At 55.8% G+C, this 25,633-nt stretch overlaps 1 non-coding gene across 1 annotated transcript, besides 8 other annotated features; it reads right to left on the reverse strand.

Moving 5' to 3' along the window:
- Positions 6,112–6,611: an enhancer, noted in NCBI's record as "H3K4me1 hESC enhancer chr20:60523619-60524118 (GRCh37/hg19 assembly coordinates)". NCBI's record gives its function as "activates a minimal SCP1, AML or CMV promoter by ChIP-STARR-seq in naive H9 embryonic stem cells {active_cell/tissue: H9 hESC(naive)}" and the evidence as "EXISTENCE:reporter gene assay evidence [ECO:0000049][PMID:30033119]".
- Positions 9,649–9,849: a silencer, noted in NCBI's record as "peak4298 fragment used in MPRA reporter construct". NCBI's record gives its function as "represses an SCP1 promoter by STARR-seq MPRAs in K562 erythroleukemia cells {active_cell/tissue: K562}" and the evidence as "EXISTENCE:reporter gene assay evidence [ECO:0000049][PMID:32103011]".
- Positions 9,837–10,409: an enhancer, noted in NCBI's record as "H3K27ac-H3K4me1 hESC enhancer chr20:60527344-60527916 (GRCh37/hg19 assembly coordinates)". NCBI's record gives its function as "activates a minimal SCP1, AML or CMV promoter by ChIP-STARR-seq in naive H9 embryonic stem cells {active_cell/tissue: H9 hESC(naive)}" and the evidence as "EXISTENCE:reporter gene assay evidence [ECO:0000049][PMID:30033119]".
- On the reverse strand, positions 11,095–11,211 carry MIR1257 (microRNA 1257). Its single transcript, NR_031658.1, has one exon. It is a non-coding gene; the product is annotated as a microRNA 1257 (primary transcript).
- Positions 11,220–11,719: an enhancer, noted in NCBI's record as "H3K4me1 hESC enhancer chr20:60528727-60529226 (GRCh37/hg19 assembly coordinates)". NCBI's record gives its function as "activates a minimal SCP1, AML or CMV promoter by ChIP-STARR-seq in primed H9 embryonic stem cells {active_cell/tissue: H9 hESC(primed)}" and the evidence as "EXISTENCE:reporter gene assay evidence [ECO:0000049][PMID:30033119]".
- Positions 20,847–22,046: an enhancer, noted in NCBI's record as "BRD4-independent group 4 enhancer chr20:60538354-60539553 (GRCh37/hg19 assembly coordinates)". NCBI's record gives its function as "activates an origin of replication core promoter dependent on BRD2, P300/CBP, MED14 and CDK7 cofactors, and independent of BRD4, by STARR-seq in HCT116 cells {active_cell/tissue: HCT116}" and the evidence as "EXISTENCE:reporter gene assay evidence [ECO:0000049][PMID:35650434]".
- Positions 21,489–21,689: a silencer, noted in NCBI's record as "peak4299 fragment used in MPRA reporter construct". NCBI's record gives its function as "represses an SCP1 promoter by STARR-seq MPRAs in K562 erythroleukemia cells {active_cell/tissue: K562}" and the evidence as "EXISTENCE:reporter gene assay evidence [ECO:0000049][PMID:32103011]".
- Positions 22,949–23,577: an enhancer, noted in NCBI's record as "H3K27ac-H3K4me1 hESC enhancer chr20:60540456-60541084 (GRCh37/hg19 assembly coordinates)". NCBI's record gives its function as "activates a minimal SCP1, AML or CMV promoter by ChIP-STARR-seq in naive H9 embryonic stem cells {active_cell/tissue: H9 hESC(naive)}" and the evidence as "EXISTENCE:reporter gene assay evidence [ECO:0000049][PMID:30033119]".
- Positions 23,578–24,207: an enhancer, noted in NCBI's record as "H3K4me1 hESC enhancer chr20:60541085-60541714 (GRCh37/hg19 assembly coordinates)". NCBI's record gives its function as "activates a minimal SCP1, AML or CMV promoter by ChIP-STARR-seq in naive H9 embryonic stem cells {active_cell/tissue: H9 hESC(naive)}" and the evidence as "EXISTENCE:reporter gene assay evidence [ECO:0000049][PMID:30033119]".

Genomic DNA, 25,633 nt, shown 5'->3' on the forward strand with positions numbered 1-25,633 from the left:
AAAGTCACTGGGGGGCTCCTTAGAGACATAGACTTGACTGCCCCAGCTCTCCGACGCCTGAAGCCAGGCCCAGCCCAGCCCACCCTCCTCAGCAGGGAAGATGCTCTGCGAAGCCCTCCACTGCCTCCCCTGTAAAAACAAGGGTGGTGCTGGGGGTTGGGGGTGACACTCAGCATAACCCTGTACCAGGCACGGGACCCTGCAACAAACATGTCCCCTCCTCAGTTCTGCCTCCATATGGTGGGGGGAGGGGCTCCAGACAGGTCAACACATGGGGGAGGGCCAGGAAGGGTGACCAAAGCTGCTGGCGACCAAAGCTGCTGGCAGGGACGGCCTGGGAGAGGCGATGGAGACAGGGGGCTGGAGGAGCAAGGGCTGAGGTACGGGGGAAGAGACCCAGATACCGGACAGGCTTCTGGTCCGGCACGCAGCCACCATGAGTCCCCTCTCCCCTAGGAGAGGGGACCTCAGGTGCCTCCCTCTGGGCAGCCCAGCTCAGGAGCATCCAAGGTCAGGGGAGCAGTCCCGCTCCGTCTCACCAGCAATGAGGAGCACTGCGACTGTCTGCACCATGGCCGCCCCTTCTCACCGACCACGAGGAGCACTGCGACCGTCTGCACCGTGGCCGCCCCCTCTCACCGACCACGAGGAGCACTGCGACCGTCTGCACCGTGGCCGCCCCCTCTCACCGACGACGAGGAGCACTGCGACCGTCTGCACCGTGGCCGCCCCCTCTCACCGACGACGAGGAGCACTGCGACCGTCTGCACCGTGGCCGCCCCCTCTCACCGACGACGAGGAGCACTGCGACCGTCTGCACCGTGGCCGCCCCCTCTCACCGACCACGAGGAGCACTGCGACCGTCTGCACCGTGGCCGCCCCCTCTCACCGACGACGAGGAGCACTGCGACCGTCGGCACCGTGGCCGCCCCCTCTCACCGACGACGAGGAGCACTGCGACCGTCTGCACCGTGGCCGCCCCCTCTCACCGACGACGAGGAGCACTGCGACCCTCTGCACCGTGGCCGCCCCCTCTCACCGACGACGAGGAGCACTGCGACCGTCTGCACCGTGGCCGCCCCCTCTCACCGACGACGAGGAGCACTGCGACCGTCTGCACCGTGGCCGCCCCCTCTCACCGACCACGAGGAGCACTGCGACCGTCTGCACCGTGGCCGCCCCCTCTCACCGACGACGAGGAGCACTGCGACCGTCTGCACCGTGGCCGCCCCTTCTCACCGACGACGAGGAGCACTGCGACCGTCTGCACCGTGGCCGCCCCCTCTCACCGACCACGAGGAGCACTGCGACCGTCTGCACCGTGGCCGCCCCCTCTCACCGACGACGAGGAGCACTGCGACCGTCTGCACCGTGGCCGCCCCTTCTCACCGACAACGAGGAGCACTGCGACCGTCTGCCCCGTGGCCGCCCCTTCTCACTGACGATGAGGAGCATTGCGACTGTATGCACCGTGGCCGCCCCTTCTCACCGACGACGAGGAGCACTGCGACCGTCTGCACCGTGGCCGCCCCTTCTCACCGACGACGAGGAGCACTGCGACCGTCTGCACCGTGGCCGCCCCTTCTCACCGACGACGAGGAGCACTGCGACCGTCTGCACCGTGGCCGCCCCTTCTCACCGACGACGAGGAGCACTGCGACCGTCTGCACCGTGGCCGCCCCTTCTCACTGACGATGCACCGTGGCCGCCCCTTCTCACCGACGACGAGGAGCACTGCGACCGTCTGCCCCGTGGCCGCCCCTTCTCACTGACGATGAGGAGCATTGCGACTGTATGCACCGTGGCCGCCCCCTCTCACCGACGACGAGGAGCACTGCGACCGTCTGCACCGTGGCCGCCCCTTCTCACCGACGACGAGGAGCACTGCGACCGTCTGCACCGTGGCCGCCCCTTCTCACTGACGATGAGGAGCATTGCGACTGTATGCACCGTGGCCGCCCCTTCTCACCGACGACGAGGAGCACTGCGACCGTCTGCACCGTGGCCGCCCCTTCTCACCGACGACGAGGAGCACTGCGACCGTCTGCACCGTGGCCGCCCCTTCTCACCGACGACGAGGAGCACTGCGACCGTCTGCACCGTGGCCGCCCCTTCTCACCGACGACGAGGAGCACTGCGACCGTCTGCACCGTGGCCGCCCCTTCTCACCGACGACGAGGAGCACTGCGACCGTCTGCACCGTGGCCGCCCCTTCTCACTGACGATGAGCATTGCGACTGTATGCACCGTGGCCGCCCCTTCTCACCGACGACGAGGAGCACTGCGACCGTCTGCACCGTGGCCGCCCCCTCTCACCGACGACGAGGAGCACTGCGACCGTCTGCACCGTGGCCGCCCCTTCTCACCGACGACGAGGAGCACTGCGACCATCTGCACCGTGGCCGCCCCTTCTCACTGACGATGAGGAGCACTGCGACTGTCTGCACCGTGGCCGCCCCTTCTCACCGACGACGAGGAGCACTGCGACCGTCTGCACCGTGGCCGCCCCTTCTCACTGACGATGAGGAGCATTGCGACTGTATGCACCGTGGCCGCCCCTTCTCACCAACGATGAGGAGCACTGCGACTGTCTGCACCGTGGCCGCCCCTTCTCACCGACGATGAGGAGCATTGCGACTGTATGCACCGTGGCCGCCCCTTCTCACCGACGACGAGGAGCACTGCGACCGTCTGCACCGTGGCCGCCCCTTCTCACCAACGATGAGGAGCATCGCGGCTGTCTGCACCATGGGAGCCCCTTCTCACTGACAATGAGGAGCATTCAGAGTGTCTACACCGTGGCCACGCCTTCTCACCGATGCTGAGGAGCACCGAGACTGTCTGCACTGTGGCCGCCCCTTCTCACCGACGACGAGGAGCACTGCGACCATCTGCACCGTGGCCGCCCCCTCTCACCGACGACGAGGAGCACTGCGACTGTCTGCACCGTGGCCGCCCCTTCTCACTGACGATGAGGAGCACTGCGACTGTCTGCACCGTGGCCGCCCTTTCTGACTGATGATAAGGAACATTGCGACTGTCTGCACCGTGGCTGCCCCTTCTCACCAACGCTGAGGAGCACTGCAACCATCTGCACCGTGGCCGCCCCTTCTCACCGATGATGAGGAACATTGAGACTGTCTGCCCCGTGGCTGCCCCTTCTCACCGATGCTGAGGAGCACTGTGACTGTCTGCACCATGGGAGCCCCTTCTCACTGACAATGAGGAGCATTCAGAGTGTCTACACCGTGGCCGCGCCTTCTCACCGATGCTGAGGAGCACCGAGACTGTCTGCACCGTGGCCGCCCCTTCTCACCGATGACGAGGAGCACTGCGACCGTCTGCACCGTGGCCGCCCCTTCTCACCGACGACGAAGAGCACTGCGACCGTCTGCACCATGGCCGCCCCTTCTCACTGACGACGAGGAGCACTGCGACTGTCTGCACCGTGGCCGCCCCTTCTCACCGACGACGAGGAGCACTGCGACTGTCTGCACCGTGGCCGCCCCTTCTCACCGACGATGAGGAGCACTGCGACTGTCTGCACCGTGGCCGCCCCTTCTCACCGACGATGAGTAGCACTGCGACTGTCTGGATCGTGGGAGCCCCTTCTCACCGACGATGAGGAGCACTGCGACCGTCTGCACCGTGGCCGCCCCTTCTCACCGACGACGAGGAGCACTGCGACTGTCTGCACCGTGGCCGCCCCTTCTCACTGACGACGAGGAGCACTGCGACTGTCTGCACCGTGGCCGCCCCTTCTCACCAACGATGAGGAGCACTGCGACTGTCTGCACCATGGCCGCCCCTTCTCACCGACGATGAGTTGCACTGCGACTGTCTGGATCGTGGGAGCCCCTTCTCACCGACGACGAGGAGCACTGCGACTGTCTGCACCGTGGCCGCCCCCTCTCACCGACGACGAGGAGCACTGCGACCATCTGCACCGTGGCCGCCCCCTCTCACCGACGACGAGGAGCACTGCGACTGTCTGCACCGTGGCCGCCCCTTCTCACTGACGATGAGGAGCACTGCGACTGTCTGCACCGTGGCCGCCCTTTCTGACTGATGATAAGGAACATTGCGACTGTCTGCACCGTGGCTGCCCCTTCTCACCAACGCTGAGGAGCACTGCAACCATCTGCACCGTGGCCGCCCCTTCTCACCGATGATGAGGAGCATTGCAGCTGTCTGCACCGTGCCCGCCCCGACTGATGATGAGGAACATTGCGACGGTCTGCACCGTGGCCGCCCCTTCTCACTGATGCTGAGGAGCACTACGACCGTCTGCACCGTGGCCGCCCCTTCTCACCGATGAGGAGCACTGCGACTGTCTGCACCGTGGCCGCCCCTTCTCACCAACGACGAGGAGCACTGCGACCGTCTGCACCGTGGCCGCCCCTTCTCACCGATGAGGAGCACTGCGACTGTCTGCACTGTGGCCGCCCCTTCTCACTGACGATGAGGAGCACTGCGACTGTCTGCACCGTGGCCGCCCCTTCTCACCAACGATGAGGAGCATTCGGACTGTCTGCACCGTGGCCGCCCCTTCTCACCGACGATGAGTAGCACTGCGACTGTCTGGATCGTGGGAGCCCCTTCTCACCGACGATGAGGAGCACTGCGACCGTCTGCACCGTGGCCGCCCCTTCTCACCGACGACGAGGAGCACTGCGACTGTCTGCACCGTGGCCGCCCCTTCTCACTGACGACGAGGAGCACTGCGACTGTCTGCACCGTGGCCGCCCCTTCTCACCGACGGCGAGGAGCACTGCGACTGTCTGCACCGTGGCCGCCCCTTCTCACTGACGACGAGGAGCACTGCGACTGTCTGCACCGTGGCCGCCCCTTCTCACCAACGATGAGGAGCACTGCGACTGTCTGCACCATGGCCGCCCCTTCTCACCGACGATGAGTAGCACTGCGACTGTCTGGATCGTGGGAGCCCCTTCTCACCGACGACGAGGAGCACTGCGACTGTCTGCACCGTGGCCGCCCCTTCTCACTGACGACGAGGAGCACTGCGACTGTCTGCACCATGGCCGCCCCTTCTCACCGACGACGAGGAGCACTGCGACCGTCTGCACCGTGGCCACCCCTTCTCACCGACGATGAGGAGCACCGAGACTGTCTGCACCGTGGCCGCCCCTTCTCACCGATGACGAGGAGCACTGCGACTGTCTGCACCCTGGCTGCCCCTTCTCACCGATGCTGAGGAGCACTGAGACTGACTGCACTGTGGCCGCCCCTTCTCACCAACGATGAGGAGCATTGCAGCTGTCTGGACCATGGGAGCCCCTTCTCACCGACGACGAGGAGCACTGCGACTGTCTGCACCGTGGCCGCCCCGACTGATGATGAGGAACATTGCGACCGTCTGCACCGTGGCCGCCCCTTCTCACTGATGCTGAGGAGCACTACGACCGTCTGCACCATGGCCGCCCCTTCTCACCGATGAGGAGCACTGCGACTGTCTGCACCGTGGCCGCCCCTTCTCACCAAAGACGAGGAGCATCGCGGCTGTCTGCACCATGGCCGCCCCTTCTCCCCAACGATGAGGAACATTGTGACTGTCTGCACCGTGGCCGCCCCTTCTCACCAACGATGAGGAGCACTGCGACTGTCTGCACCGTGGCCGCCCCTTCTCACTGACGATGAGGAGCACTGCGACCGTCTGCACCGTGGCCGCCCCTTCTCACCAACGATGAGGAGCACTGCGACTGTCTGCACCGTGGCCGCCCCTTCTCACCAACGACGAGGAGCATCGCGGCTGTCTGCACCATGGCCGCCCCTTCTCCCCAACGATGAGGAACATTGTGACTGTCTGCACCATGGCCGCCCCTTCTCACCAACGATGAGGAGCATTGTGACTGACTGCACCGTGGCCACCCCTTCTCACCAACGATGAGGAGCACTGCGACTGTCTGCACCATGGCCGCCCCTTCTCCCCAACGATGAGGAACATTGTGACTGTCTGCACCGTGGCCGCCCCTTCTCACCGATGCTGAGGAGCACTGTGACTGTCTGCACCGTGGCCGCCCCTTCTCACCAACGATGAGGAGCACTGCGACTGTCTGCACCGTGGCCGCCCCTTCTCACCAACGACGAAGAGCATCGCGGCTGTCTGCACCATGGCCGCCCCTTCTCCCCAACGATGAGGAACATTGTGACTGTCTGCACCGTGGCCGCCCCTTCTCATCAACGATGAGGAGCATCGCGGCTGTCTGCACCATGGGAGCCCCTTCTCACTGACAATGAGGAGCATTCAGACTGTCTACACCGTGGCCGCGCCTTCTCACCAATGCTGAGGAGCACCGATACTGTCTGCACCGTGGCCGCCCCTTCTCACCGACGACGAGGAGCACTGCGACTGTCTGTACTGTGGCCTCCCTGTCTCACTGACGATGAGGAGCACTGTGACTCTCTGCACCGTGGGAGCTGAGGGTTTGGGTTCCAGGACTGAGAAGCATGGGGGACCCTTGCTCAGCGGCTGCCCAGGGCCCTGATGACCACCTCCTGAAAGACAGCACCTGCCCAGCCTCCAGAAGCTCTGGGGTATTAACTACCCATTAACTACACTAACCAGGTGGGAAGGTAGTCCACTAACTACACTAACCAGCCCAGAAAAACAACCTATTAACTATACTAACTACCCTGGAAACCAGCCCTAATCAACACTAAGCCAGTGGGAAACTAGTCCATTAACTATACTAACCAGCCCAGGAAAACAACCCATTAAGTACACTAATCAGCCCATTATCAACCAGCCCATTATCAACACTAACTATGTGAGAAGCTAGTCCATTAACTACACTAACCAGCCCAGAAAAGCAAGCCATTAACTACACTAACCGGGTGGGAACTAGTCCATTAACTACACTAACCAGCCCAGGAAGCCGGCCTATTATCCATACTAACCAGCCCAGGAGGCCAACTCACTATGTCCAGTAACCAGCTGTCTCATGTGTGGTGCTGTAACCACCTATTGCCGGGACTGGGTACTTGATCACGATGGACGGGAACATGGGTCAGGTCTGGTGGCCGGGAGTCCGGGATCCAGGCACCACAGGGTTGGTGCTGGGTGAGGGCCTGCCCCACACAGATGGTGCCATCCAGGTGTCCTCACATGGTGGAAGGTGAGGGGCAGAAAGGCCCAGCTCTCTACCTCCTGCCCTTTGATAAGATGCCATCCTGGTCCCAGGGGCTCCCACCTCGTGCATGACATTGGTGCTCTGATAAAAGAGGCTCCCCCTTCGCCTTCTGCTCTTGTCCATGTGAGAACACAGCACCCGCGTCCCTGGAGGACGCAGCAACAGGACACCTCCAGGACGCAGAGAGCACTGTATCAGGAGGCTGTGGTACTGGGTGGGGGAAGGGTCCCTCCAGAGCATATTGAGTTTGGACGTGAACTTGAGCTGCATTCCCAACTCTAGGGGAACGCTGAGTCTCCCAACACACCTGAGACAAAGTCCACAGTCCTGGGCCTGACCTCGGAGGCCCTCAGTGGTCAGGACCCGCCTTCCCTGTGGGCCTCTGGAGGGCACAAGCATCAGCTCCCAGCGCCTGCCTGGCTATGATGAAGGGGACCCAGCCGGGACAGCCTCCATCCCAAACCAGCCAGGCCCCATGTAGGGTCAGTGCAGCGGTGTCTGTGCATTGAGAGACTGCCCGTGTGTGGCTGGGCCAGGCCACTCACTGCCCATCACTGCAGACAACTATCCAGGACCCCCCAGGCTGCCCCAATACCCCAGTTGCCCAGGCTGAGCCTCCCAGCCATCCCACCCATCTGCACCCGCTCTGGCACACGGCTGTAAGGTGGGTCTGCCATGGGCGCCGCCCAGGAAGGACATTCTCCTGCCAAGTCCCAGCCAAGCTGGGGGTCGTGGGCTCACAGCCCCATGATCTGCCCCCCTGCTCTGCCTGCCTCTCACAAGCCAATGTGCCCCTCTGATCACCTTGGCGCCCTGGCCTCGCCTCCCCACTATAGAATCCCAGCCCTCCAGGCCATGAGTCCAGGCACAAACGGGTTCTCCCACACCAGACTCTGGGTCCTCAAAGCTCTACGACTGGCCCAGTCCCCTGACCCCACCTGCCCTGAGAGCCTGAGTCCACACTGGTAGTGGCTCAAGAGTGGAGCCCCTGCACAGTGTCAGTGCCAGCCACCCTGGACCTGTGGAGGCTGAGCTCAAAGGCTGAGGAAACTGAGCTCGAAGAAGCAGGCAGCCCTCCGGCCCCTGCTGGGCAGCAGCAGTCTGACCTGAGCCCCACGCTGGTGCCCAACCCAGCAGCCTCCACCTCCGCCTCAGGAGCCAGTCAGTCCCAGCTCCCCGAAGGGCAGGCCACAGGGCTGGGCCCAGTGGTGACCCCTTCCCTCCCCCAGCCCTGGGCCCTCCCTCCCACCCTCTCCCCTTCCCCAGCCCTGCAACCGCCCCTCCACAGCCCTGGGCCCTCCCTCCCACACTCTCCCCTTCCACAGCCCTGGGCCCCTCCTTCCCACCCTCCCTCCCACCAGCCCTGGGCCTCCCCCTACCGTCCTCTCCCCTCCCCTAGCCCTGGGCACCTCCCTCCCACCCTCTCCCCTTCCCCAGCCCTGGCCCCTCTGTCCCATTCTCTCACCTCCCTTAGCCCTGGGACTCCCTCCCAGCCCTGGGCCCCTCTTCCCACCCTCTCCCCTCCCCCAGCCCTGGGCCCCCTCCCACCCTCTCCCCTCCCCCAGCCCTGGGCACCCCCCCACCTTCCTTTTCCTGGGGCACAATTCACATGTACACTGACTTGCATAACAAAAAACCACTCACGGCCGGGCGCGGTGGCTCACGCCTGTAATCCCAGCACTTTGGGAGGCCGAGGCGGGCGGATCACGAGGTCAGGAGATCGAGACCATCCCGGCTAAAACGGTGAAACCCCGTCTCTACTAAAAATACAAAAAATTAGCCGGGCGTAGTGGCGGGCGCCTGTAGTCCCAGCTACTTGGGAGGCTGAGGCAGGAGAATGGCGTGAACCCGGGAGGCGGAGCTTGCAGTGAGCCGAGGTCCCGCCACTGCACTCCAGCCTGGGCGACAGAGCGAGACTCCGTCTCAAAAAAAAAAAAAAAACCACTCACACGGTTAATCATGGGTGCAGTTGATAATTACAGGCACAATTAACCACTTGCTAATTTTGAGGGTGCGAGCAGTTAATTACATTCACAATTAGGCAACTGCTGTAGGCCTGGGACCGGAGTCCTGGTGGGGGGACACTCCTTGTAATCAGACTCCCAGGGTGAGGCCCTGTGGTGGGGGTGAGGGTCAGGTGATCTGCGAAGCACCCCCCTCCCAGCTTCAAGTGGGGAGCTTACAGGCCTAGAGGTCAGGGCCTGGCAAACGACCTGAAAAATCCAGCTTGAGGCCCTTTCCAGGGAGCCCCAGAGGCCTTCTCTTGGGTCATTTCCCAGGATGGGGGTCGCTGTCACTCCTCTGTCCCAGGAGGATTCAGAGAGGTCAGTTCACAGGCCTATGCTGGGCAGAGCCACTCATCCACGGCACTGGCCACTCAGCCAGGTATTGACAGACCCACCCGCAGGGCAGACAAAAGAGGCATGGCCCAGCCAGCTGCGGGACCCTGCACCCCCCACTCACTCACACATGTGCACATGCACACACATGCACACGTGCAAACACACACACACGCACACACACACAGCCCTCCTCGGCTCACAGGGGGCTGCAGGACGCTGTCCAAGGTACTGACCTCCCTGCTGCTGGGCCCCTCGCTGCTGAGCCAGGCAGGGGAAGTCAGCTGGGCCAACTGGGAGGGTCGGGCAGGGACAGCACCTGAAATCCCTGCTCAGCCCCCTGTGCCGTTCCTGCCCCTGAGACCACGGCCAGCCACCCAAGGGCTACCCCTCAGCAGCCTGAGGACACAGCGCCGGCTCTTCATCTCAAGCACACGGAGGTGCAAGAGGGAGGGTCTGCGGCCTCGGCAGAGACAGCCGGATGCACTGAGACCCTGGCCTGGGGCAGGCAGGGGCTCCCTCAGGGGGCTCAGAAGGGGTCAATGCTGCAGACCACAGGCCGGCCCAGCCTCAGGCACGGTCCACCTGGCACAGCACACTTCACAGTGTTGAATATACTGTTGTATTTGTTTCCTGAGGTAACAAAGTCCCACAAACTCGGTGGCTTAAAAGAAAGACATTTATGCTCTCCCAGTCCTGGAGGCCAAAAGTCTGAGATCAGTATCCCTGGGCCGAAATCAAGGGGTCGGCAAGGCTGAGCTCCCTCCGGGGAATTAGGGGACGAGCCCTCACTGCCTCTTCCAGCCTCCAGTTCCTTGGCTCACGCCCACATCACTCCCGTCTCCACCTCCATCTTCACTTCATCTTAGTGTAACCTCCCTCCATCTCCCTCTTACATATGGACACTTCCCATTGGATTTCGGGCCTATGACTAGTCCTGAAAGATCTCATCTTGAGACCTTCAACTTGATCATATCTGCAGAGACTCTATTTCCAAATAAGGTCACCTTCACGGGCTGTTTTTCTTTTAGGGCGGTGGGGGTGGGGGGGGGGGGATTTTTCAGCTGACCACAATTGTCAACATTAAAAAATCAAGATATTGTAGGGGTCCCACCTAGATATTGAGGAGGTGGACAACAGGAGGACTGGGTCTCTCCTTCATCCCTCAGCTGCCAGGATGGAGGGTTTGGGGGGGGTCATTTCTTACACAGCTCCCAGTAGGAGATGCTGTGTAGCCTTGGGAGTGTCACTTAGCTACCTCTGGGCTTCCTTGTCTGTTGCTGGGACCGTGTATCAGCTAGTTGCTGAGTAACAAACACAAACACGATCTCAGCAGCACAGAGTCAGCATTTGGTTGGCTGGTCCAGGCCAGGCCGCTGGGGCAGCTGAGCTCTGCCCCCCACTCCCTCATCCTCCCCCTGACCAGCAGGCTAGCCACCCTCACTGATGGCAGCAACACAGGACAGCAGCCTGGTCACCGCAGCTCTCAGTTCAGAGCACCACATGCCCCGTGAACATCCCCTCAGTCAAAGCAAGTCACATGGCTGAACCCACAGTCAAGGGGCAGGGAATTAGACTCCACCCCCTTAGTGGGGGAGCTTCAGAGGCACAGGGCAAGCGTGGTTGGCAGGGGTGAAGGATGGGGCCAGTGATGCCAGGGGCCCACAGGGGTGCATGGGGGTCAGAACCCATCATTCACTCCCCAAGCACAAGCCCAGGGCCAGCTGGCCCACAGGTCCCCCTGGTGCCCAGCATCCCCCCGTCCCCCTCCCATGGGGTGGGGCTCGCATCCAATGCCTGGTTCCAAGTGTCCTCCTCATCTTACCTGCATGGTGACCATCCAGGACGCTCTCCCTGAGCCCGCTGCTTACTGAGTGCCACGGAGGCCTGCAGGGGGAGTGGGCACACACAGGAGAGACGCATGATTTGCAATCTCGTTAATGAGCCGTAGCACAATCACAGACCTGCCCTGACAAGGAGCTGCACTCGTGGTAACATAAAACTGTCAGCCAGCTGGGCGCGGTGGTTCACGCCTGTAATCCCAGTACTTTGGGAGGCTGAGGCGGGAGGATCACCCGAGGTCGGGAGTTTGAGACTGGCCTGGCCATCGTGGCGAAACCCCGTCTCTACTAAAAATACAAAAATCAGCCAGGTGGTGGTGCATGCCTGTAATACCAGGTACTCAGGAGGCTGAGGCAGGAGAATTGCTTGAACCCAGGAGGCAGAGTTTGCAGCAAGTCAAGATCATGCCACTGCACTCCAGCCTGGTGACAGAGCGAGACTCTGTCTCAAAAAAAACAAATTTTTTTAATAAAAAAAAAACCTGTCAGCCAACGAAGCTCATTACAAGCTGCTCCTCAGACTTCCTGTCAGCTGGGACTGCATCCGCCTGTTCAGCCCTTCCAGGCCTGGAGCTGGAGCCCAGGAGGGAGGCCAAGGGGTCCCACTGCAGCTGGGGTGCTGACTGTTAGCTACCAGCCCTTCCGTGGGCCTGTCAGGTTCAGTCTCGGATGCTGTGGGGCCCTGGGACCCCTCATGGGAAGCTGACTTGGACCGTTCAAGAGCCCTATCTAGCCCTCAGCAGGACAAGATCCTCTCAGCAACATCCCCAACACACACTCAACCAGACAGCCTGCAAAGAGCCAGTTCTGTATTTGGACAGCTCGGCTCCCCATGGTACCCTTGTACTCCATGGTAAACCAAAACAAGCTTCTTTGTAACTTCCACCTACTAAAACCATTCCATTACCACCAACTAAGACGGATTCTCCACCTGCCCATCCCAAACCTACCCCCAGGTGTCCCGTGTCTCCTTGTCTCCTGCATCTGCTGCCCACGTGCAGGCTGAGTGTGAAATAACAAAGGACATCCTCCTGGTGGCGCGGGGCAGAGAGCCAACTCACAGAGGGGAGGACATCCACGCTGGCCACGAGCCAGCTCCCCACAATGACCAGCCCAGCCACCCCGATGGTGGGGGAGAATGGGTCCTCCCTCTGCGATCTGAGAGTTCCACTCAGTAGCCCTCAAACCCTACTCCACACACACCTGTTCGCCCTGAATCTAATGTGCTCACTTTGAGCTATCTTCCTGTATGCCTTTTCCCAGGCTGATACCCTCTTTTCTTTGCTTTTGCAAACTAGCTGAATTTCTTAGCCAGAGCCATCAGGCAAGAGAAAGAAATAAAGGACATTCAAATTGGAAAAGAGGAATTCAAACTACCTGTTTGCCAATGGTATGATCTTATACCTAGAAAGCCCTAAAGACTCCTCCAAAAGACTCCTAGATTCGATAAATGAATTCAGTAAAGCCTCGGTCACAACATCAATGTAGCACTGCTATACACCAACGATGACCAAGCTGAGAATCAAATCAAGAACTCAATCCCTTTTACAATAGCTGCAAAAAAATAAAATACCTAGGAATATATGTACCCAAGGGGGTGAAAGATCTCTACAAGGAGAACTACAAACACTGCTGAAGGAAATCACAGATGACACAAATGGAAATATATCCCATGCTCACTTATTGGAAGAATCAATATTGTGAAAATGACCAAACTGCCCAAAGCAATCTACAGATTCAGTGCAATTCCTATCAAAATACCAACATTCCTTTTTCACAGAATTAGAAAAACAATGCTAAAATTCATTTGGAACCAAAAAAGAGCCTCAATAGGCAAAGCAATCTTAAGCAAAAAGAACAAATCTGGAGGCATCACATTACCTGACTTCCAACTATACTACAGGGCTATAGTTACCAAACAGCATGATACTGGTGCAAAAGTAGATAACAGACCAATAGAACAGAATAGAGAATGAAGAAATAAAGCCAAATCCTTACGACCAACTGATCTTTGATAAAGCAAACAAAACCGTATTCAATAGATGCTAGGAAAAACTGGTGAGCCACGTGTAGAAGAATGAAACTGGATACCTATCTTTCAGCATATACAAAAATCAACTCAAATGAATTAAAGACTTTAATCTAAGATCTGAAACCATAAAAATTCTAGAAGAAAACCTAGGCAAAACTCTTCTGGACATCAGCCTTGGCAAAGAATTTATGACCAAGACCCCAAAAGCAAATGCAACAAAACCAAATATAAATAAGTGGGACCTAATTAAACTAAAAACCTTCTGCACTGCAAAAGAAAGAATCATTAGAGTAAACAGAACACCCGCAGAATGGGAGAAAATGTTTGCAAACTATGCATTTGATAAAGAACTAATAATCAGAATCTGCAAGGAACTCAAATCAGCAAGAAAAGAAAAACAATCTCATTAAAAAGTGGGCAAATGACACGAATAGACATTTCTCAAAAGAAGATAAACAAATGGCCAAGAAACACATGAAAAATGCTTGACATCACTAATCATTAGGGAAATGCAAATTAAAACCACAATGAGATACCACCTTATTCCAGCCAGAATGGCCATTATTAATGTTGCGGTAAACTGAGGAACGGAGAGACCACTATGGAGTACAGGAGGATTGTTGTTTATTTTAGGTACGTACCGGCTCAGAGGACTCACATCCAAAAAGCTGAGCATTGAACAAAGACTGAGCAGGGTTTTTATAAGCGGACTTACAAGAGTAAAACAAAGCAGTTAATCGTACAGTGACAGGTCACGTAATCTATAGCGTAACTGTTGACTTAGCATAACTTGTGGCCTTGCATAGCTAGTGACCTCACAGCTGTGTCAAAAGAAAAACAAGAACTAGCTAAATACAGACATTTGTAAAACATAATCATGCTTAAGAAGCCTGGGAAAGGAGTAACAGTAAAAGAATTTGTCTTTCTTTTTTCCCTCAACCTTGCTCTGGAGTGGGGGTGTCTGGAGCCCATTCCTTTGGCGGTGGCTACTCAAACAGTGTTATCTTATAACTGTCCTTGAAGTGAGCCTGCTGCACTTTCCCCTGCTAGGCAGAGGAAAACTTGTTCTTTTCTTTTTAACCTTTGCCTTGCCTGTTACTTTTCTTAGAGTGAATGAATGCATATTTATTTTTAAATTTCTGCCTCACTAAAAAGTCAAAAAACAATAGATGTTGGTGTGGAGGTGGTGAAAGGGAATGCTTACACACTGCTGGCAGGAATGTAAACTAATACAACCTCTATAGAAAACAGTATGGAGATTTCTCAAAGAACTAAAAGTAGATTAGCCATTCGACCCAGCAATCCCTCTACTGGGCATCCACCCAAAGGAAAGGAAGTCATTACCTCAAAAAGACACCTGCACATGTGTGTTTATCACAGCACAATTCACAACTGCAAAGACATGGAACCAACCCAAGTGCCTATCAGCTGATGAGCAGATAAAGAAAGTGTGAGATAGATTTAGATAGATAGATAGATAGATAGATAGATGGATGGATGGAAGGATGGACGGACGGATGGTCGGACAGACAGATAATGAAATACACACATATATATGTCATGAAATACAACTCAGTCATAAAAAGAATGAAATAATGCATTTTGTAGCAACTTGGATGGAACTGCAGACCATTATTCTAAGTGATGCAACTCAGGAATAGAAAACCAAATACTGTATGTTCTCACTTATAAGCGGGAGCTAAGCTGTGGGTACACAAAGGCATGCAGAGTGGTATAATGAACACTGGAGAATCAAAGAGGAGGAGGGAGGGATGGGGATGAGGGACAAAAAACTACCTATTGGGAGGCCGGGTGTGATGGCTCACCCCTGTAATCCAAGCACTTTGGGAGGCTGAGGCAGGCGGATCACCTGAGGTCAGGAGTTGAAGACAAGCCTGACCAACATGGAGAAACCCATCTCTACTAAAAATACAAAATTAGCCGGGTGTGGTGGCGCACGCCTGTAATCCCAGCTGCTCAGTAGGCTGAAGCGGGAGAATCACTTGAACCTGGGAGGCAGAGGTTGCGGTGAGCCAAGATCATGCCATTGCACTCCAGCCTGGGCAACAAGAGCGAATCTCTGTCTCAAAAAAAAAAAAAAAAACTACCTATTGGGTACAATGTACACTACTCAGGTGATGGGTGCACTAAAATCTCAGACTTCACCACTACACAATTCATCCATGGAACCAAAAACCACCTGTGCAAAGCTATTGAAATAAAATAAAAACTAGAGCTGGGCACAGTGGCTCACACCTGTAACCTCAGCACTTTGGGAGGCCAAGGCGGGGGATCGCTTGAGCCTAGCAGTTCAAGACCAGCCTGGGAAACATAGCAAGACCCCATCTCTACTAAAAAAAAAAATTGTTTAAAATATCCTAGTGTAGTGACGTGCGTCTGTGGTCCCAGCTACTTGGGAAGTTGAGGCATGCAGATCACTTGAGCCCAGGAGGCCAAGGCTGCTGTGAGCTGTGATCACACATCTGCACTCCAGCCTGGATGACAGAGCAAGACCCCGTCTCAGAAAACAACAACAAAACTCTCTGAGGTATAATTTACATACAACAAAATTCACCAATTTTAAATATAATTTGATGAGTTCTGACAAATGTACACAGTTGTGTAACCACCAGCACGATGATTACGTGGAACATTCCCATCACACCAAAACTAGTTGTGTAACCACCAGCACGATGATTACGTGGAACATTCCCATCACACCAAAACTTTCCCTCCCTGGGCCTCTTTACACTCAATCCCCTCCTCCACCCTCGCCCTGGGCTCCTGTATTCTATTCGCTATTCCTGTAGTTTTGACTTTCATATAAATGAAACCACCCAGGATGCAGCATTTTGAGTCTGTCCTCTATCACCAAACATAATGCTTTTGAGAGTTATCGTTGCTGCACCCTGGGGTAGCTCATTCTGTTTTTCTAGCTGAAAAACTTTCCTTATGTGGGTGTACTACAATTTATTTTATCCATTCACCTGTTGAAGGGTATTTGGCTTGTCTCCCGTTCACGGCTATTATGAATAAAGCCGCTATGAATGTCGAAGTCAAGTTCTTTACATGGACAGAGGCCTTCTCCTGGATGGCCACCTGGGGTGGAACTGCTGGATCACGTGGTGACTGAGGTGTAACTTTTCAAGAAACTGCCAGGCTGATTTCTAAAATGTCTGTAGCATGTTACACTCCCCCATGCAGGGTCTGGGGGTTCCAGCGAATCTACACCCTTCCCTGCGCTGGCATGGTCCGTCCTGTACATTCCAGCCTTTCCAGGAGGAGCGCAGCAGTGTCCCACTGTGGTTCAAATTTGTGTTTCCTTGATGACGAATGACGCTGAGCATCTTTGTGTGTGCTCATTTGCCATCTGTACTTCTTCTTTGGGGAAGTCTGTTCCAATCCCTTGTCTCACAGGAATGTTCGTCTCTATATTTGGCTACATAGTTGCCATTTCTGGTGCTATTTCTTTACTGTTGTGTCCGTTTGATATGACTTTCCTTCTGCTTACAGAGCTTACTTTAACCTTACTTAATATGTTGAGGATGCTGAGGCAGGAGAATAGGGAATTGGGGTAACCAAGGGTTAAGGCAGAAGCAAAAGAGCAGCAGGCTCCGCCAGCTCCAGGCAAGACTGGGCGGCACACAGGCCGCATCCCCACCCCTGTGATGACAAGACAGAAGCCTCCACGTCAGCCTCTGATTGGCCGCAGATCAATCCTTCATAGGGTGTAACCAATGGGAGGCTTCTAAAGGGCACCTAGGGGTGTTACCAAATCTTTTAGCTTTATAAAAACCTGGGGAGCATTGCAATGGGGGGGATAGTGTCTTGAGCCACTTGCTCGAGTCCGCTCCCACTCTGCGGAATGTACTTCCGCCTCAATGTAGCTGTGCCTTCGACTCAGCAAAACAGAAATAATATTCCAAATACGCACGATGGTAAGAACCAACAGGAACCCTCATATCCTGCTACTGCAGCCGCACCTATGATTGGTTATCCCGGGCCAAAAAGACATTTTCAGTAAGACTTTAGAAGTATATGTAAATGTCTGTTTTTCACAATTGCTCCATATATTGTGTGTTTTCAGACAAGACAGTTATTTAAGAAACGGGAATTGCAGAAATGGCTGTAGTGCAGCGGTAATATTTAAGTCGACTAGTTATCCACGTTCCTGAAACAATTTCTAAGGTTTTTTTTTTGTAGTAGAAAATGTAGGCAGTGTTTTCACAAAAGTAAATGTACAGTGATTTGAAATACAATAAATGAAGGCAATGCATGGCGTTCCAGTAAACATTTTAAAAATAAATAAATAAAAATCTGTGCTTTCGTTACTCCTTTCTTTCGTTGCTTGCCTTTCATTGCTTCGTTCTTTTGTTGCTTTGTTTGTGCATTTTGTTCAATTCTTTGTTCAACACACCAAGAACCTGGACAACCCACAGTCAAGACGTTCCACCCGGTAACAATGGGACATCACTTTAACATTGCCGGGACACAGGTCTGATGGCGATGAACTCTTTCAATTTTTGTGTTTCTGAAAAACTAATTTCACCTTTTCTAAAGAAAAAAATGTTTTCATTGGGTAAAGAATTTTAAATTGGCTGGGCGCGGTGGCTCTCGCCTATAATCCCAGCACTCTGGGAGGCCGAGGCAGGTGGATCACCTGAGGTCAGGAGTTCAAGATCAGCCTGGCCAACATGGTGAAACCCTGTCTTTACTAAAAATACAAAAATTAACTGAGCATGGTGGCATGTGCCTGCTACTCAGGAGGCTGAGGCACGAGAATAGTTTGAACCCGGGAGGCGGAGGTTGCCGTGAGCCGAGATTGCACCATTGCACTCCAGCCCAGCCAACAGAGCGAGACTCCATTGGAAAAAAAAAAAAAAAAGAATTTTACATCGACTGTTGTTTTCTTTCAGTGCTTTCGGGATGCCGTTCCACCATTTCCAGCCTGTGTTGTTTCCAACAATGCAAATATTCTGACAAAAATATTGTCATCCTTTTGTTCCTTAAAAATTTTCTTTTTAAGGCCATTTGATTTTTTACGTGCCTTGCTGTCAGTTTTTGTTTTGTTTTTTAAACAGGGTCTCATTCCGCCACCCAGGCTCAAACAATCCTCCTGCCTCGGCCTCCCAGATAGCTGGGACTGCTGGTGTGCATCACTATGCCTGGAAAATTCTTGTATTTTTTGTGGAGTTGGGTTTTTGCCACGTTGCCAAGGCTGGTCTCGAAATCCTGGGCTCAAGCGATCCTCCTGCCTCGGCCTCCCAAAGCGCTGGGATTACAGGCGTGAGCCACCGCGCCTGGCTGATGTCGGGTTTTTGTGTGTGTTTCTTATGTTTTGTGTGTTTCTTATGTATGAGCTTCTTAGATTTCACCAAATTTGGAATAACTTTAATCACTATTTCTTCAAATGTTTTTTTGCTTCTCCTCTTTGGGAAGCTTCCCTTACAGACATACTAACCCGTTGGCATCATCCTCATACAGCCCACTGATGCTCTGGAGTCTTTTTCCCTCCCTTCCCCTCATGTGTTATATTTTATATGATTTCTACTGCTACATCTTCAGGTCCTCTGCTCTTTTCCTCCGCCAAGTCCACTCTACCATTCATGTCGTACCTCATCCAGTGTGATTTTCACATCAGACATTGTGGTTTTTATCTCCAGCAGTTTCGTCAGAGACTTTTTTTTTTTTTTTAACAACAGGGTCTTGCTGTGTTGCCCAGGCTGGTCTTGAACTCCTGGGCTCAGGCGATCCTCCTGCCTTGGCCTCCCTAAGTGCTGGGATCACAGGTATGAGCCACCATACCCAGTCTTGTCAGAGCCTTTTTATACGTTCTTTGTCTCTTCTTGGGCTTTCAGCTGGCTTCCTGAGCATGCATCATAGTTACAGTGACTGTGTGAATTTCTTTGCATAGCAATTCTCTCACCTATCACATTTCTAGGTCAATTTTAATGGGTTGGATTTTCTGCTCATTACGGGTTGTATTTTCCTGCTTCTCTGCTGGCCTGGTAATTTTTTTTTTTAATTGAATGCCATACATTGTGACTGTTACGTTTCTGGGTGTTGGATGTTTCTGTATTCCAAACATTCTTGAGCTTTGCTGTGGGACACTATCACGTCACTTAACAGTTTCATCCTTGGGGACCTTGCTTTGTTAGGTAGGAAAGCAGAGCATTCCTCGGTGGTGAGGAAAAGTCCTTCTGGGTGCTCTATGCCACGCCCCACGAATGAGGAGGTGTTTGCCTCTGACTGATGGCTAGACGCCCTATTCCCAGCCTTGTGTGAGCTCTGGGGATTGTTCCCTCTAACCCTAGCGAGTGGTCCTTTCTCCAGCTGGGCTCATGTTACGGGGCTGCACTGACACAGGACATGAACGAGGTGGTATAAAGTAACAGAAGTGTATTCCCTCAGTTCTGGAGGCAAGAAGCCCAAAATCACGGTCATGTTTCCCTGATAAGGGGAAGGCGGATGGGCCTGGGGAGTGTGGTGCAGGGTGGGCTGAGGCCAGAGGAGAGGCTGCCACAGGGCGTGGAGCAGAGTTTGTGGGGCACACTGTGCACAGTGACCTCCACCATTGTTTAATTGGATTGGGTCCCAGAGTTCTACTTGGCTCATGAGCCCTGATCAGCCATTCACAGGCTGTAGGACCAGGAAGTTTTCCAGATAGAACAGGAAGATGTCTCCAGGCAGCAGTGATTCAGGAACAGCAGGCACCGATAATGACCAGAAAGCAGACACTCCCAGCGAAAATGAGCCCGCCTAGGCCAGGCATGGTGGCTCACACCGGTAATCCCAGCGCTTTGGGAGGCCAAGGCAAGAGGATCTCTTGAGCCCAGGAGTTTGACACCAATGCTAGCAACATAGGGAGACTCCATCTCTACAAAAAAATTTTAAAAACAAGCCAGGTGTGGTGGTGCATGCCTGGAGTCCCAGCTACAGGCTGAGGCCGAAGGATTGCTTGAGCCAGGAGTTCCAGGCTGCAGTGAGCTATGATTGCACCACCGCACTCCGGCCTGGACGACAGAGAGATCCTGTTTCAAAAACAAAAAACGGCCGGGTGCGGTGGCTCACGCCTGTAATCCCAGCACTTTGGGAGGCCAAGGCAGGCAGATCACGAGGTCAAGAGATCAAGACCATCCTGGCTAACACGGTGAAACCCCATCTCTACTAAAAATACAAAAAATTAGCCGGGCACGGTGGCAGGCGCCTGTAGTCCCAGCTACTCGGGAGGCTGAGGCAGGAGAATGGCATGAACCCGGGAGGCGGAGCTTGCAGTGAGCCGAGATGGCGCCACTGCCGTTCCGCCTGGGCCGAAGAGTGAGGCTCCATCTCAGAAAAAAACAAACAAACAAAAAAAACCAGGAGCCCACCTTGACCACGTGAGCACATCTAGGAGGAAAGCCCCCCATGGCTCAGGAGACTGCTGACAAAACACACAGAGACCCCGGGAGGCACAGGAGACAGGAGTGCCGCTCGCCACCAAACCACACCCACCGCCGGGGCCTGCTTCCCTCTCTCAATCCCGAAGGGAGGGGAGCAACTGGGGGGCTGGGCTACAGGAGGCTTTGGCTGAGCCCCTCCGTGCCCAGGGTACAACAAATATCAGGACAGTACACAGGGACTTGCCTTAGGAAAGCCCACCCAGCCAAGCACAGGACTTGCATGAAGATCAGAAAGTTTACTGAGGCACAGGAAGACTTCCTCTGGAGATGGAAAGGAGGCAAGGGCCCCGGACCACACTCTTCTTAGCATTGGCCTGGAAGCCTCAGCCTGTGCAGAAAGCAAGAAAAAATAAAAGATGTAAAGGTTGGAAGGGAAAAAAATAAAATGTGGTTGTTCACGGATGACACAGCTGCATACAGAGGAACGCCTCAAGAATAGATAAACAATCTGTTAGAATTAATCAGTGGAGTTATAAGGTCACTGGGGACAAGGTCAATATACCCAAAAAACAAATCCATCAAGTGTTTGTAGACTAGCACAAACAAACAGAACACGAACTTTAAAATTATAGCATTTACAACAGTATCTGTATTAGTCCATTTTCATACTGCTGTGAAGAAATAGCCAAGATGGGTAATTTATGAAGAAAAAGAGGTTTAATGGACTCACAGTTCCACGTGGCTGAAGAGGTCTCACAATCATGGCGGAAGGTGGAGAAGCAAAGTCACGTCTTACATGGCGGCAGGCAAGAGAGCGTGTGCAGGGAGACTGCCCTTTATAAAACCATCAGATCTCATGAGACTTATTCACTATCACGAGAACAGCACGGGAAAAACCCACCCCCATGATTCAGGTACCTCCCACCAGGCCCCTCCCACAACACGTGCTGATTATGGGAGCTACAATTCAAGATGGGATTTGGGTGGGGACACAGCCAAACCATATCAGCATCCAAATACTTAGAAATAAATCTAATTGGAGACATGAAAGACCTCCACCTGCAAACTACACAGTGAAATTAAACACATAAATAAATGGCTATGCCATATTCCTGGATTAGAAAATTCAATAATGTAAAATGTCAGTTCTCCCCAAATCAATTTGTAGATTCAATGCAATCCCAGTAAAATTCCTAGTTGAGTTTGTTTGGGGTGGTGTTTGTTTGTTTGGAGACAGGGTCTTGCTCTCAAGACCCTAGGTCCTGGACAGGGTCCACCCCTAGGCTAGAGTACAATGGCATGATCACAGCTCACTGCAACCTTGAACTCCTGGGCTCAGGTGATCCTCCCACCTCAGCCTCCTGAGTAGTTGGGACTACAGGCATGCATGAAAATTTCTGTATTTTTTATATAGACAGGATCTTGCCTTGTTGCCCAGACTGGTCTCAAACTGCCAGGCTCAAGCAATCCTCCCACCTCAGCCAGCCAAAGTGCTGGGATTACAGGCGTGAGCCACCGCAATAGGCCAATTTTTTTTTTATTGTTTTGTTTTGTTTTGTTTTTTTAAACTGAGCTGAGAAACTTCAAGTCACTGCTGGAGGAGTCAAGACGGCAAGCCAAAGCCCTGTGTGGCTGGGGTGGGGTCTGGCCCCGCTTCACCCTCACGGAGCCTCCTTGGCTTTAGGAAGAGCAGAGGTCCTTTCTCAGGCACTGGTGGCTGTGCTTCAAGCTGCTGTGGTGGAGGCTGAGCCAGTTTCCCACCCACCTGCCTACCAGGAAGCCCCGAGTCTGTCCCTGCAGTCCCTCCTCCTGGGAGCTGCTGCCGAATCTAGGGTGTCCCCGCCTGTTTTGCTTTCTGGGAAGAGTCTCCTCTCTGAGAAGCAAGATCCCCTGGAGATGCGGTCGGTGCTGGCTCCGCCTGCCCTGCCCTGCCTGCACACCGTTCCGGGTGTCACCACCCCAGGCGACTGCAGGACCCTAGATGCCCTGAGGTCCGGGAAGGCGGGGGGTCCCCGAGTCTTTTACTCCCTGGAGATAAGCCTTCGCGGGGTTCGCAGGACTGCGTCCTCCTGGGCCCCTTTTTCCTTTTTTCTTCTACCTGGGGGTTGTGGTGCCAAATGCCTCTTGGGTTCCAACGTCTGGTGCCCTCTCAGGAGTTCCACCGGCAACGACCCGACGTGCAGGGACTGTGGCAGGTTTGTGACCCCTCCCCTCCCCGCAGAGCCTGGCACATCGGCAGCCCTCCCGCGAGTCAGCCTGGGTGACTGCGACTGCCCTGGGCTCTAAACCCCGGGGTACGGGCCAGGTGTCTGCTTGGGGAGGTGTAGACGGACACAGGCAGGGTGGGAGGAGGCGAAGGTGTCCTCCACGAAGGACGCGGGGCGCACCGGGACTCCAGTCCCCGGCACCCTCCACCCGGCACCCGCGTCCCCACACGGGCCGCGTCCCGCCTCCCCAGCCTCCCTGGCCCCCCCGGCCGCCCCCACTCACATCCCGTTGCCCCCCACCTGGCCCCCACCATGCACCCAGCATCCCAGGCCCAGGTGCCCCGCCCCGGGCCTTACCCACGGGCTCGAGCCTGATCTCCTCCCCGGGCCCCCCGCCCCTGGCTCCTCCTCGGCTCCCACAAGGCACAGCCTGTGTCCGCCCCAGACCCGCCGCGAACTCGCGCTGCCACCTGCCGCCTCGGCCCTGCCCCCGGCCCCGCCCCCAGCCCTCTAGCCCCGACCCCGACCCTCCGGCCCCGCCCCTCCCCTGGCCTGCCACGTGTCCCCTACCCCGCAGGGCAGCTGCGTGTTTTGTGTTCCTGTCTCTGCGGCCAGGTGGGGGCGAGTGCGCTGAGGTCAACCCTCGGCCACCCGGGCGCTGGGTGGTGCTGCCACTGTCCCCATTTCAGAGATGAGGAGACTGAGGCTCACAGGGGAAAGGGCCATCTGCATCCGGAGGAGGGCCTAAGCCAGACTCTCCCTGGAGGAACAGGGAGGCCTCGACTAGCCCCTCCCCAAACGCAGCAAGTGGGTGCTCTGAGGAGGGGGTGTGGGGACCCTTCCCTCTGGGGCCCTCAGAAGGGGTGGGCCTCAGCCCCACCATGTGGCCCCAATCCAGCCCTCAGGACCCGCCAGGAGTCTCAGCACCTCCCCACACACCGAGTGTCCAAAAGCCTCTGACATCCCCTCTAGGGGGAGCGCTCCCCAAAGTCTCTCTGGCAAGGGTTCTCGGCACCACCAGGGTTGGGGCCCACGCTTCTTTTCCCCTCAATCTACCCTGGGAGGGGAAGGGCGGGGAGGGGCCCTGGCAGGGCAGCAGCGAGGACTGGGCAGTTGGCTTTCCAGGGCCTGGCTTGCAATGTCGGGCTCCCCCTCCATCCTCAGCTCCTGGGAGCTCGTTCTCGTGGCTGGCTGGGTCCACCGCAGCCTGGAATTGGTGTGTGGCATTCTTATAGCCACCTGCCCCCAACCATGAAAACAGACCCAGTGCCAGTCTTCAGGCACGGCTGGATCCAGGCGCCAGTCCTCAGGCACGGCTGGATCCAGGCGCTCCGGGATGCCATCAAGGCTGGCTCTTCATTCGGCCTCTGTGTTGGTCTCAGCCACACTCTGCCCCGCAGTGGCCACGGTGGCAGTCCTTGGACAACTGAGCTGACGTCCTGCCAGCCCCCAAACATGAAGTGTCCTTCTGGGAGTTCCTGTAACATGTCTGGGTGAGACAGGACTGGCCAGGCTGAGGTCACGGCCATCCCTCAGCTTGTGTCAGTGACCAAGACAAGCCAGGCCACATGACCCACCCCCCTGGGTCCACCCCGAGCGGGTAGGATGGGTGGGGCCTGCTGGCCCCATGTGCCCGTGCAAGGCGCTGTGCCGGGAGACACGGGGCCCCCTCAGTCATCACGTGGCATTTCTCATAAGCTTCTGAGGCGGCCCAGGGACCACCAGGGCTCCAGTGTGGCCAAGAAGTGAAGTCTGAAGTGACCCAGAGGGCTGCTGGTGAGGGGATGAGTGCTCAGGACGGAGGCGGAGGGCTTCCTGGAGCTGGTGGCATTTGAGAGGACATAGGGGAAGAGCAGCACAGAGTGGAAGGCCCTGCTAGAGAACTGGGCCACATTCAGGGGACTCTGGCAGCCCAGCAAGCTCCAGCTCCTTGGACGCTTGTTGGCGAAACAATATTGTACGTCCCTCCCTCCCCACCACCCCTGCAGCCTAGAGATGGAAAGGTCCCTCCACCAGGACCAGACCTCCTCCCTCCTCCCACCTCGGACCTCCCACCCCACCTCCAGCATCAGCAGACAGTGCTGGACCTGGACCAGGGTCAGGAGCAGTGCCCCCCACCCCGCCCCTCAGCACCATCAAACCTGCCACCTCCCTGCACCCCTTCCCACCTCCCCTCCCTTCCCCCTTCCCCTCCCTTCCTTCCTCCCCTTTTTTTACCCCCTCCTCCCTTTCCCCACCTCCCCTCCGTTCCCCCCTCCCTTTCCCCCTCTCCTCCTTTCCCCCGTCCTCCCTTCCCCCCTCCCCTCCCTTTTCCCCCTCCCCTTGCTGCCTTTTCCCCTCCTCCCTGCACCCCCTGCTCCCCTCCCCCTTCACCCATCCCTCCTCCCTGTAACCCCCTCCCCACTCCCTGAACCCTCCTTCCCCTTCCCTGCACCTTCCTTCCCCCTCCCCAGTGCCCCACCCTCACCTCTTCCCCACCCGCACCTCTGCTTCTTCCATTTGGCACCTCCCATGTTCCTGTCTCCACACACGAACGCAGCTTTTTTATTTTTCATTCATTTATTTTTGCAGCGTTATTGAGATAGACCTGATTGACGTATGGTAACCTGCATATATTTATAGTGTGCAATGCGGAAAGTTTCGACACTTTGCACACCTGTGAAACCATCACAGTCAAGATA

Source organism: Homo sapiens, chromosome 20, assembly GCF_000001405.40.
Source record: "Homo sapiens chromosome 20, GRCh38.p14 Primary Assembly".
Classification (NCBI taxonomy): Eukaryota; Metazoa; Chordata; class Mammalia; order Primates; family Hominidae; genus Homo; species Homo sapiens.